This window comes from Homo sapiens, chromosome 2 (assembly GCF_000001405.40).
Source record: "Homo sapiens chromosome 2, GRCh38.p14 Primary Assembly".
NCBI lineage: Eukaryota > Metazoa > Chordata > Mammalia > Primates > Hominidae > Homo > Homo sapiens.
The window spans coordinates 155,784,827-155,798,453 of record NC_000002.12 but is presented as its reverse complement, the minus strand read 5'-3'; the positions used below and the strand labels follow the sequence as shown (position 1 = coordinate 155,798,453).

Here is a 13,627-nt window from a genome sequence, read left to right as displayed (position 1 = left end):
ACTAATTTGTCATATTCCTTTCTAATGTCAATTAGAAAGCAAAATGTAGCTTTCTAATTGAGCTTCAAGAAGACATAGAATACTTACATGGTCCTATAACTCTTAAAGATATTAAAATAGTAATAGAAATCAGCACATAAAGAAAGCTAGAAAGTTTTACAGGGTGGTTCAACCAAATAATAATTAAACAATACCAAATGTAGTTAATAGCAAAAATAAACCAATAATTGTGAGGACAATACAAGAAAGGGCACTTCCCAAAACAAACACACATGCAAATATGTGTGTGGCTGATATAATATTAAAACCAAAATCAAATAAGAAACATATAAGAAAGAAAAATCGTAGGCCAATATCAATCATGATCCCAGATGCAAAAACCAATAAAGATGAGCAAATTAAATCCATCAAAGTATAAAATATGTAAACCATGTAGGATTTGTCCCAGAAATGCAAATGGATTTAGCATTAGAAAAGTCATCAACTTAATTCTCTATCTGAACAATTTTAAAAGCAAAAGAAGAACTTAATTAATAAAAGATGCAGAGGAAAACATTTGGATAAAGTAAATACCAACTTATGGTAAATGAGTAAAACAGAAACCACCTATTAGAAAACCAGGGAAAGAAGAGAAATTATTTAATCTGAAAAAGATATATATCAAAATCCTGTATCAAGTAGTATAGCAATGTTGAAATGTTAAATTTATTTCCATTAAGATAGGAGTAAGACAAGAATACTCATATTTACTCATTTCTGTTCTTTATTTTATTGCATTTTGATGTCAACATAGTAACCCAAAAACAAAAGTAAAAATAAATGGTACAAATGTGTGGAAAATATAAAAACTGTCATTATTTGTAAATGTCTAGATAGACTACCAAAAACAATACAAATTACTAAAATAATAGTTTAATAAGTATATATGTGTATATATATACAGAATAATATAAATAGTATATATAGATATATAGATATTACATGAATACATGAAAGAAATATTTATAGCCATGTTAATATCAGTCAGAATAGACTTAGGCAAAAAGCATTATGCAATTGTTTTAAGAAGCAATTAGGAAAAAATCCCAACATAATCAAAAAAGAGAAAAGACATTAGTAGACATTTTACACAAAAGGAAATATAAACAGTTAAAAAACATGAAAAGATGCTCAAAATTCTAGATACATACCCTAGTGAAACCTTGCATGTTACATAAGGAGATATATGAAAGAATGTTATTAGAAATATTGTTTATAACAACAAACACAAAAATTTGTTCAACATTTGAATGCAGAAATAAATGGAAATATATGTGTATAGTGAAAAGACATCATGTAGATACAGAGATGCAACTCTAAATGGAAGACTACTGATATGGTTTGGCTCTGTGTCCTCACCAAAATCTCACCTTGAATTTTAATAATGCCAGTTGTCAAGGGCCGGACCAGGTGGAGATAATAGAATCATGGGGGCAGTCTCCCCCATACCTTTGTCCTGATAGTGAGTGAGTTCTCACAAGATATGATACTTATATAAGGGGCTTCCCACTTTGCTCGGCACTCTTTCTCTCTCCTGCTGCCCGGTGAAGAGGTGCTTTCTGCTGTAATTGTAAGTTTCCTGAGGCCTCCTCAGCCGTGTGCAACAGGAGTCAATTAAACTTCTTTTTCTTATAAATTACCCAGTCTCAGTGTTTCTCCATAGCAGTGTAAAAATGAACTAATACAGTAAATTGGTACCGCAGAGTGGGGTGCTGCTATAAAGATACCTGAAAATTTGGAAGTGACTTAGGAACTGGGTCACAGGCAGAGATTAGAATAGTTTTGAGGGCTCAGAAGAAGACAGAAAAATGTGGGAAAGTTTGGAACTTCCTAGAGACTTGGAGGGCTTAGAAGACAGAAATTGGTGGGAAAGATTGGAACTTCCTAGAGACAAGATGAATGGCTTTGACCACAATGCTGATAGTAATATGCACCATGAAGTCCAGGCTGAGGTGATCTCAGATGGAGATGATAAACTTGTAGGGAACTGGAGTAAAGGTGACTCTTGCTATGCTTTAGCAAAGAGACTGGTGGCTTTTTACCTCTGCCCTAGGTATCTGTGGAACTTTGAACTTGAGAGAGATGATTTTGGGTATCTGGTGGAAGAAATTTCTAAGCAGCAAAGCATTCAAGAGGTGACTTGGGTTCTCTTAAAAGCATTCAGTTTTAGCATTCACGAAGATACGGTTTGGAATTGGAACTTATGTTTAAAAGGGAAGCAGAGCATAAAAGTTTGGAAAATTTTCAGCCTGATGATGCGACAGAAAAGAAAAACCCATTTTCTGAGGAGAAATTAAAGCAGCCTGCAGAAATTTGCATAAGTAACAAGGAGCTGAATGTTAGCCATCAAGACAATGAAGATTATGTCTCCAGGGCATGTCAGAGACCTTCACAGCAGCCCCTCCCATCACAGGCTCTTAGGCCTAGGAGGGAAAGATGTTTTCCTGGGCTGGGTCCAGGGCCCCTCTGCTCTGTGCAGACTTGAGACATGGTGCGCTACAGTACAGCTGCTTCAGCTTCAGCCATGCTAAAAGGGGCCAAGGTATAACTCGGGCCATTGCTCTTCAGAGAACAGAGAATGCAAGCCTCAAGACTTGGTGACTTACACATGGTGTTGGGGCTGTAGGTGCACAGAAGTCAAGAATCTAGGTTTGGGAATCTCCATCTAGAATTCAGAGGATGTATGAAAAGGCCTGGATGTCCACACAGAAGTCTGCTGGAGGGTGGAGCCCTCATGGAGAACCTCTACTAGAGCAGAGTGGAAGGGAAATGTGAGATTGGAGACCCCATACATAGTCCCCATTTGGGGTATGCCTAGTGGAGCTGTGAGAAGAGGGCCACCATCCTCCACACCCCAGAATGGTAGATCCATTGACAGCTTGTACTGGGTGCCTGGTAAAGCCACAGGCACTCAACACCAGCCTGTGAAAGCAGCTGGGAGGGGGACTGTAACCTGAAAGCCACAGGGGTGGAGCTGTGCAAGTCTGTGGGAGCCTACCTCTTGCATCAGTGTGACCTGGTTGTGAGACATAGAGTCAAAGGAGATCATTTCGGAACTTCAAAGTTTAATTACTGACCTATTGGATCTCAGACTTGCATGGACCTGTACCAGCTTTGGTTTGGCCAACTTCTCCCATTTGGAATGGGTGTATTTACCCAAGTGCCTGTACCCCCATTGTATCTAGGAAGTAACTAACTTGCTTTTGGTTTTACAGGCTCATAGGTGGAAGATACTTGCCTTGTCTCAGATGAGATTTTGGACTTGGACTTTTGGGTTAATGCTGAAATGAGTGAAGACTATGGGGGACTGTTGGAAGGGAATGACTGCATTTTGAAATATAAGGACATGATATTTGGGAAGGGCCAGTGGGGCAATAATGTGGTTTGGCTCTGTGTTGCCATCCAAATCCCACCTTGAATTGTAAGAATCACCTTGCTTCAAGGATAGGACCAGGTGGAGATAATTGAATCATGCGGGTGGTTTCCCCCATGCTGTTTTCATAGTGAGCGTTCTCACTATCATGAGTGTGAGTGATAGTTCTCTCATGATCTTATGGTTTTATAAGGGGCTTCCTGCTTTGCTTGACACCCATCCTCTCTCCTGCTTCCCTGTGAAGAGGTGCCTTCTGCCATGATTGCTGAGGCCTTCCCATCCATGTGGAACTGTGAGTCAATTAAACCTTTTTCCTTATAAATTACCCAGTCTCAAGTGTTTCTTCATAGCAATGTGAAAACAAACTAATATAACTACTACAAATATAAGATTTAGTAAAAATAGTAGATAGCAACATACTGAACTTATAATGTTTCCATTCATATAAAGCTAAAAACTATGCAAAAATAAACCATATTTATTTAGAAATGCATCCATATGTTGTTAAAATGTTTAAAGGCAAATTAATTGTGAATACTATATTCAGAATAGTGATTTTCTCAGGGAGTGCAATTTTATTACAACGTCTTGCAAGCCAATGTACTATTACTGTTATAATTCTTGAACAAGGTGTTTTCTGTATGAATATTTAGCTCAATATCATTCTTTGTATTTCACATGAACATTATATATTTTTATATGCATGAATTTTGCATAATAAAATTATTTCTAAAACAAAGCCGAAAAGAATACATATTTGCATTTGAATACTTAGTCTAAGGATTAAAAAAAGGTATTGTTTTATATAAAGCTGAAATAAATATACTCTATGGAGACATATTACTTTCATTTCTTATATTTAAGAACTGAAAAATTATACACACCTACTGGAAATAAAAATAAAGATAACATGAAAAACCAAATATATGATGCCACTGGCCTTTTCTTTGTAACTAAATTTATTTAGACAAAAGCATAAATACTACCTGTGGAGAAATGTTTAGCAATTCTATATCTAATTATGTTATTGTCATATGTAAACACAATGAAAAGACTTTATAAACTAGGTTAAGTGTTAGAAACTATAGTGTTTTCTAGGGGGTGGGACACACCTTAAATTACCACTATGAAACCGGCAATTTAAATGTGTGATATTGGCCTGATAACTGGATTTAGGCTCTGATAGTTGGTACTATATTGGTCACATAAATTCTGTTTCACTTTATCTTGTTTTGAACTCCATCTAAAGTAGAAGATTCCTTCATCAATTTTTTTTTGGTCTCTCTTAGAGTACACCCTGTGTTTTCAAATGTACTCTGCTTGCTTATTAAATACAGGTTAAGCTTGGTTTCCAATGTGGAGAAACAAATTCTGGAATAAAAGTTCATTAATCAATAGAATGGCCTTTTCACATCTACCCCCTCCCCAACAGTAATCCCATAGCTTTACATAGCACCAATATGAAAACAAAATGAAACGGTGCCAGAATAAAAGCTTCAATATTTACTAATTTGCCACTAGAATAGTATACTTACCAGTCTGACTGAGATTTTAAATAAATTAAATATTGTTATTCAGTCTGAATTCTTAAAACAGTGGAAAGCAATGAAAAAAATAAAGAAAGTTACTTACAACATATTATACAGCTGATCTTTGAACAGCATTAGGATTAGGAGTGCCAACCCTCTACACAGTTGAAAATCTATATAACTTCTGACTCCTCCAAAACGTAACTACTAGTTGCTTACTGTTGACCTGGAAGCCTTATAGATACCATGAACAGTCAATTAACACATATTTTGGATGTTATAGGTACATATACTGTATTCCTATAATAAAGTAAGCTAGAGAAAAGAAAATGTTATTTAAAAATCATTTGTAAAATACACTTGTCATGTCAGGTATGGCAAAGGGCAAAGAAAATTCATGTATAGATGAACCCACATGGGTCACACCCATGTTGTATAAGGGTCACTTGTACTTCTTGAATCTGAGTATTCAACTCTTTCAAATACTTTGGTAAATTCTCACCTGTTACCCGGAAGCATTGCCTCCCACCATTCTCTGTATTTTCCCTTTATACTTTTAGACATATATTGTATTTCTGTTGGGCATATATTATTTTTTCTTATTTTACCATCCATGACTCTTCTATATTTTAAATTCTTTATTTTTTTCTTTATACTGGGTAATTTCTTCAAATGTATCTTCCAGTTAACAAATTCTCTCTTCAGCTGTGTCTAATCTGATTTCTAGCACATAAAATGAGTTTTTAATTTCTATCCTCATATTTTTATTTCTAGAAATTCTATATGATTCTTTATAAAAATACTTCCTGTTCTTATTTTCCTGGTGTATTGTTATTTCCACATATATTCTATATATTTGTTTACCTTTGTAATCATTTTAAACAGGCTTTATTAATGCTATCATATGAATAGATTATAAGGGTACATGAGGAAGCTAAAGAGATTTTTGTCCTAATGAAGATATAATTATAGTATAAAAAGTATTTTATTTCCATCACCTATTGTTCTTCTATATTCCAAAATTAGAGAGGTGTTGATGTAAGCCTATTGCTTTTTATGTTTGTTGACTCTTATTTATATTGAAAAATTTTATTTTCTATATGACACCAGAGATCTCTCTGAATGCATGTAGAAAAGGTCATATGAGCACATAGAAAAATCGTGACCATCTGCTAACTAAGGAAAAAGCCCTCAGAATGAAACCTACCTTGCTGGCAGCTTGATCTTGAACTTCTTGGCCTCCAAAACTGTGAGAAATAAATCTATGTTGCTTAAGCCACCCAGTCTAAGGAATTTTCTTATGGCAACCCAAGCAGATCAATACAGGGAGGAAAAAGGGAGATATTTTAATTGTTACTAGGTGAAGAAGAATGATTTAGACATGAAATAATTTAACTGCCAGGGGAGAGGGAAAATATCAGAAAGTACACTGAAATGATTTTTCCTGTTTAATGTCTGTATCTAGGAAATAATTGAAAAGTGCCACCTGAAATGTCTCTGAAACAGAGAAGCCATAGTAAAGTCATCTCAGAAGTTTGTACATAATAACTGCAACAACTAAACAAGGTAGTTACAAAATCTTTGGAAGAATTTTAGAGGGTGTGAGTGAGAGAATCAGCTAAGCATTAGTAAATGAGGTATCAAGAGATTTTAAGTAAGGAGTACAGTTTTGATAGGTAAGGAGATGTTTAAAATACCATATACAGTTAAAGGCAGAACTAATAATCTAAGATGTCCATCTCTTAATCTTAAGAATCTGTAAACTTACATGTAAAAAACAAAAAAGAACTTTGCAGATGTGATTAAGATTATGGACCTTGAGGTAGGGGAATTAACTTGGATTATCCACCTGGGTTCAACCTAATTACATGAATCCTTAAAATGAAGAACCTTTCTTGGCTGTAGTCAGTGAAAGAGATGTGATGACAGAAGTGTCATTAAGGAGGAATAACAGAGACCACAAACCAAGAAAGAGAGGCAACTTCTAGAAACTGAAAAACTCAGGAAAACAGATTTTTCCCTTGAGCCTCCGGAAAAGAAGACAGCCCTTTTGATACCTTGATTTTGGTTCAGTGTGACTCATGTCAGAATACTGAAGTGCAAAACTTTTTAGATAATAAATTTCTGTTTTTTAAGTCAATAAGTTTGCAGTCATTTTTAGTGGCAGCAATAAAAAACTACACAAATTAGATTCTACAAATTTGGACCACAGGACATAACATATGGACACATCAAGTAGTATACACAGTCAAAACTTGCCATAGCCTATAAATAAAATATTAGTCCAACTACACTAAGGAAAACAATATAAGGAGGGTGAGTCTGGGTGTGGTGGCTCACACCTGTAATCCCACAGCTTTGGGAGGCTGAGGTGGGCAGATCACTTGAGGTCCAGAGTTCGAGACCAACCTGGCCGACATGGTGAAACCCCATCTCTACTGAAAAAAAACTAAAAAAAAAAAAAGGAAGGTGAACACTAAGATACCTAAAATACCTATTGGTTTACGTATACAGATACATTTGTATAAGAATTTAATATTAGAAAATAAAATCAATCACTTTAATACATCTCAGAGTAAAATAATAAACACGTTTAGCACTTCCTATGGGACAGGTATGGTTTTAAGTGCTTAGATGACAGATTGATAGGTGCAGCAAACCACCATGGCACTTGTATACTTATGTAACAAACCTGCATGTTCAGCACATGTATCCCAGAACTTAAAGTGAAATAAAATAAAAATATATATATATTTTATATTTTATATATTTTATATTTATATATATACACACACACACACACACACAGCCTTAATTCTCACAATAATCCTGTGAGGTAGGTACTTTTATGATCATTCTATTTTCAGACATGCAAATAATGACAAAAAGAGGGTAAGCAAACTACACAAGGTCACACAAATGACAAAGTGGTCCAGCTAGGATTTAAACCCAGGTATTTTGGCTCCAGAGAAGCTACTCTTAAAATGTATGCTAGAGAAATTGAAATATCACTAGATGCTGATGTAGTTCAAGGATTTTTAAATAACCTTGATGAACTATAGGTAAAATAGTATAGCCCTTGATCAGTTAAGAACATCCAATATATTACTGTATGCTTTTAATTCATGTAAATAATATTTATTTAATTACTTAATGTTATGTGAATAATAAGAGAATAGAGCCATTCTTATTAAAAGCATAAGCCAAATACAAAGAACTACCGCATATTAATTAGCTTTCTTCCTTTACGGTTTTTTTTTTTTGGGGGGGGTTGGATTCTTACTGTCTAGAGTGCAGTGGCATGATCTCAGCTCACTGCAACCTCCGCCTCCCAGGTTCAAGCGATTCTCTTGCCTCGGTCTCCCGAGTAGCTGGGATTACAGGCGCCCACCACCATACTTGGCTAATTTTTGTATTTTTAGTAGAGACAGGGTTTCACCATCTTGGCCAGGGTGGTCTTGAACTCCTGACTTCGTGATACACCTGCCTTGGCCTCCCAAAGTGCTGGGATTACAGGCATGAGCCACCGTGCCCAGCCTGGTTAGCTTTCTTATGGACTGTTTGCTTATTGCTCTAAAGCATAGTGATTTAAAAAATTAAAAAAAGGTGAAAATATAATTATCTGCCTGTACAAATTTAGATTTCTAAAAGGAAACTTAGGGTAAATAAGAAATTAAAGAGATAGCAGAATAAAAAGTAAGTTCAAAATATCAATTTATTAGTTTCTATGCTATATCTACTAAGTATACATAGATTGAAGACATCTCAAATTTATTTTAATAAGATGGTATGGCTCCTCTACTAAATGATAGACAATAAAGGCAACTACATGCCAATTTTACTTACAAAATAGATAAAATGCTAAATAGCATACTAGCCAATTTAGTGTAATAGATTATTCAAAATAATCCAAAATAACCAAATATATTCATTTAAGGAATGTAAGAAATGTTATATTAGGTAATTGATTAATGTAACACAGCATATTAATTATTTAAAAGAGATAAACCACATTACGTTCTCCAGAAATACCAAAGTAGAATTTTGGATTTATTTAGTATACACCCTTAATATCATTTGATCATGGAAACTCCCTCCTCCTATAATCATATGCTAATATTTACCAGAACACCAATTTTTTTTTCTATTTGTGTAACTTCTAAGTTTCTCCCACTATGTTTCCCTTCTTCTACTATTGTTGGAGAAAGGAGAGTTAAGATATTTTTAACAGTGAGATGCTGGCATAAGAATAGTAAAATACTAATATAATGCATTAAAATGTCATGTATAATTTGGAGTATTTAAAAAATCAGTGAAGAAGAAGCTTCTGTAATAAACATTATTTGGACTACTGATTTAGCAATTTGGAAAATGATATAGCTATATTGTCATATTACACCATTTAGCCAAAGAAGTCTTAGATATATTAAACATATATTAATAAAATAAGAATTAAATAATAACATTAGGAGGAAACATTTAATATTTAAATGCAACTCCTTGCATTTAAATATGCAAGGAGTGATAAAAAGCCTAAGGAAAAATATTAGAAGTTTGGATAGCATAAACATAAAAAAGAAAGTATATGTCCATATCAAAATAAAAAATATGATAATGTTGGGCTACATTATAGCACATCTTATACATAAACTATTGATCATCTTAATAGCTAAAAGACTTTTACACTACATCTAACAGGAGAAAAAGTTTTTCTTTTTTTTTTTTTTTGTTTGTTTTTGTTTTTGAGATGGAGTCTCACTCTGTCACCCAGGGTGAGTGCAGTGGCACCATCTCGGCTCACTGCAAGCTCCGCCTCCCAGGTGGTTCACGTCATTCTCCTGCCTCAGCCTCCTGAGTAGCTGGGACTAGAGGCGCCCGCCACCACACCCGGATAATTTTTGTATTTTTAGTAGAGACGGGGTTTCACCATGTTAGCCAGGCTGGTCTTTATCTCCTGACCCCGTGATCCGCCTATCTCGGCCTCCCAAAGTGCTGGGATTATAAACGTGAGCCACTGCGCCCAGGAGAGAAAAAGTTTTTCTTTGCAAGGCAATTCATTAAAGAAAAAATATAGATATACAGATAGTCTATAAACATGCAAACATTGTTCACAGTAATGCACCTTAAATGTACATTGAGACTTTTTTTTTTGGCTAAGAAAAGAAAAAGCATCTACTACCTGGTGAAGTTTGAGTACCCTAGGAGGCAAACTTATGCACCCGGATAAAGTGTGAAATAATGCAAAATTCGTAGGCCAAAGGAAAATTTGGAAGTATAAACTAAAGGGTCCTAAAAATATCCATTATCTCACTGACAGATCTCAATTAAGGAAAACACTTGAAATATATGTTACAGTAATTCCTATTTTAGGAATAATCAAGCTATGTGATGACATTCATTTTTGAACATGCTCACTAATTTAGAATTTATAATACCTAAAATTGTATTACTAATAGCTAAAATTGTATTACTATGATCAAATGGTATTTAGGTTAAATACATTGTGAGAATTCTGTAATGTCATACCATGCAATAATTAAATTTAGTCTACTTTAAGATGCTGTAAGACTTTGGGAAATTCCAGCAATATATTTTTACAAAGGAAACTATAGAATTTATCCCATAGTTAACAGGAATCAGAAAGATATGCATAAATTGTACATACATACAGACTCCTGCACAGAGAAGACCCTCTTCCATTCTACACGATATTTTCCTTACTATGTTGCTTGACTTTCTCCTTCTTTTTATTTTTTTCTAGATAAACTTTTCCTTCTTATTTTCCCTCCATCTATTCCCATCATTTTCTCCTCTGCATCTCTTTTTCTCTTTCCCTACTACTGGGTACAAACTTTGAATTCCTCTAATTTTTTAATGCAGAACATTTCAGTCCTCAGCCCTCCTTTTTCATGCTCCTTTTCTTCAAGAGCTTTGCCTTTTATCTACATACAATCTGCCAGATGATTTTCTCCCCCAACAAGTCAACTTATTTTATCTGAACTATGCACCTTTCTAAATATAAAAAGCAGATTAAGTGTCAGGATTTCACAAAACATTTGAAAACATTTTCTTCTATTGTTTTTAGATAAAAGACTATTCAAAGCAAAAGTCACAAAGGGAAAGGGAATTTACTTATAAAGATGTTCAGTGGTGCACACCTGTAGTCCTAGCTACTTGGGAAGCTGAGGCGGGATGATTGCTTGGGCCCAGGAGGTTGAGGTGCAGTGATTGTACCACTGCATTCCAGCCTGGGTGACAGAGTGAGACCGTGTCTCAAAAAAAGAGGTTTGTCACTGTTATTCATAATACAATTTAATTATATGAAATAATTTAAATGTTCTTCACTTAGTAAGCGCATTTTATAGCTTGCCATAAAATGCATATTTACATGATATACTGTTACAACATACATTATGTTGCATATAAATATATATTACAATGTATACTTGCGTGGTATAAGTAAAAGCACATTATTAGTACACATAATATTACAGATATAGATATACACACACATATACACATAAACACATCATTCACACATATGCTGGTTGGGATGGGTAATTCAAACAGACCAATCAACTGGTCTTGAATGAGACCTGGGAGTTTCTAAACTTTTTAGTATTTGATGTGTAACCCAGATTATTATTATCATCAGCCAAGCTAGACAAACATTAAATTAGTTTGGTAAAGTTAACTTGTATCTAATATGTAAATGAGGTTAACTGTTCTGAGAGATGTAGTTTCCAAATTTGGGGGAGGGGTGAGGTGGGCTATTTTAAATTACAGGGGACAGAGGATTTGACTTAGGAAGTGACTTAGAGCAAAGTTATCACATTGGGTACTTGCAGACACAAAGAAAATGATACTGTGAAGTGAAAAATTATACAGAATAGGTTAATATGTACCAACGTTTCACATATTTTATTTTATTCTTTTTGCTTATATTATTCCCCTTTTGTCCTCTGTTGTCTGTAATGTCCGGATTTCAAACCAGTACTGCAAGATTTATAAACTGATCCCATTTTGGTTTAAATAATCTACTGTGGGATATCTTGGTATCTTATATACAATCATAAAAGTATTCTACGTAAGTATATCCTAAAGTTTGAAGAGTTCTATCAACATTTGAAGCACAGCTTTTTAAAGTTGATACCAACTAAAACTGTATTTTTACTTTATAATTTATTTTACTATGATTTTTTTCCTTTTAAAATTTGGGAATATCCAAATACATCCGTTCAGTACATCCAGTTCTTTAGCATTCAACATGTGTGTGTGTGTGTGTGTGTGTGTGTGTGTATATATATATATATAATATATATATATATGCTCTTAATCACAAGTGTCATAAATGACATGATATGTAACAGTATTTCCTTGTCATTTCTCTGATAGGCAGGGAAGTTATTTGAGTTTAATGTCTGTTTAAATTTTACATTTCCCCAAGGGATGTAATGGCTGATTGTAAGGCAGAATGACTAAATTAGAAAGAGTGTAACATAATGTCATAAAATCTAGTGGAAATTTTCAAATTTGGACTTTCCACATAAAAGCAAAGTAAGCTCAAAAAGCCAAGTGTCTTAGGATTTGTCGACAACCTGTTAAATGAGCTTAACCCTTCTCTGAAGAAAATGTAAAGTGATCTGTATTCAATTTAAATTTCTATATCATGATTCTACACCAAGAAAGACAAAATCATGATTTCAATTTTTTTAATCAATCTTTATGCCAGTTTATATTAAATAATTAACTTCAACCAAGCAATATAATTCATTTAACCAAGCAGTGTAATTCCTTGTGTTTTCTCCTAAGGCAATAGGCAAGTAGGCAAATATGACTTTACAAATGTTCTTTGTAACACTGGTTATAATAAAAACAGAAATGTTATAGAATAGCTCACTAGTTCTAATAGCTTACTTTAAACCCCACTTGTATTTAATTTTTGATATAATGTACTATAAAATAATTCTGTGTGCACATTTATTGGTTCCCCCAAATAGTAGACAATTATTTAAAACCCTATGATGATTCCATTTCTAGGTTTTGCTGATTTTTTAGTTGTAACATTGTATCTCACTTCAATACTTAGTAACCTCCAGTTTATTACCCTCTCTTTTACTATTACTATAGGAATAAAGCCAGTATCTGCTTTTTATACTTTTTTAACATTAGATGTTATTTATATAGTTTTAAAAGGAGAATCATGGATTGTTTGATCAAAAACTTCCTTATGTTTTAAACTTGAAAAATTTCCTTCTTAAGTCTTCATTTGTAACAATCATTGACTTTTTTCACCAGTTACCAGCACAGAATGCTCCTGCTTCTTACATTGGTTTTCGTAGAAAGAACTCTGTGAAATAAATATATTTTATTTGGAGTATACTCTTGAGAATTCCCTTCATTGTCCTCTATTCTCTCTCTTACTCTCTATTCTATCTTCTTTCTCTCTATATAGAAAGAGATAAGCATATATACATTTTATACATTTGTATACATATAAAATGCCCTTTGTGTCACTCATTTCTGTTTTTCCTTAGTGTTTAATTCATATCTGTCTTTCGTGCTAGTGAAAACAGAAACATTTAGTTCAAAATCAGTAAGTTACTTTCAGTAGTTTAATGGTACTCATTTCTGTGATAATATCTGCTTCTGAGTATTATTTCCTCTACAGATTAGATGTCTTGTT

General features: G+C 33.9%; 1 long non-coding RNA gene across 2 annotated transcripts in view; it reads left to right on the top strand.

The window, feature by feature from the left end:
• LOC105373703 (uncharacterized) overlaps window positions 1–13,627 on the top strand; it is a 158,249-nt gene that overhangs the window by 115,860 nt on the left and 28,762 nt on the right. Inside the window, exon 8 of one of the 2 annotated variants that reach the window (XR_001739749.2) lies at window positions 3,606–4,335. The exons of the other annotated variant lie outside the window; for it this stretch is intronic. This is a non-coding gene — a long non-coding RNA (uncharacterized LOC105373703). Of the gene's footprint in view, window positions 1–3,605; window positions 4,336–13,627 lie in introns of those variants that run through there. 2 annotated transcript variants of the gene reach the window in all.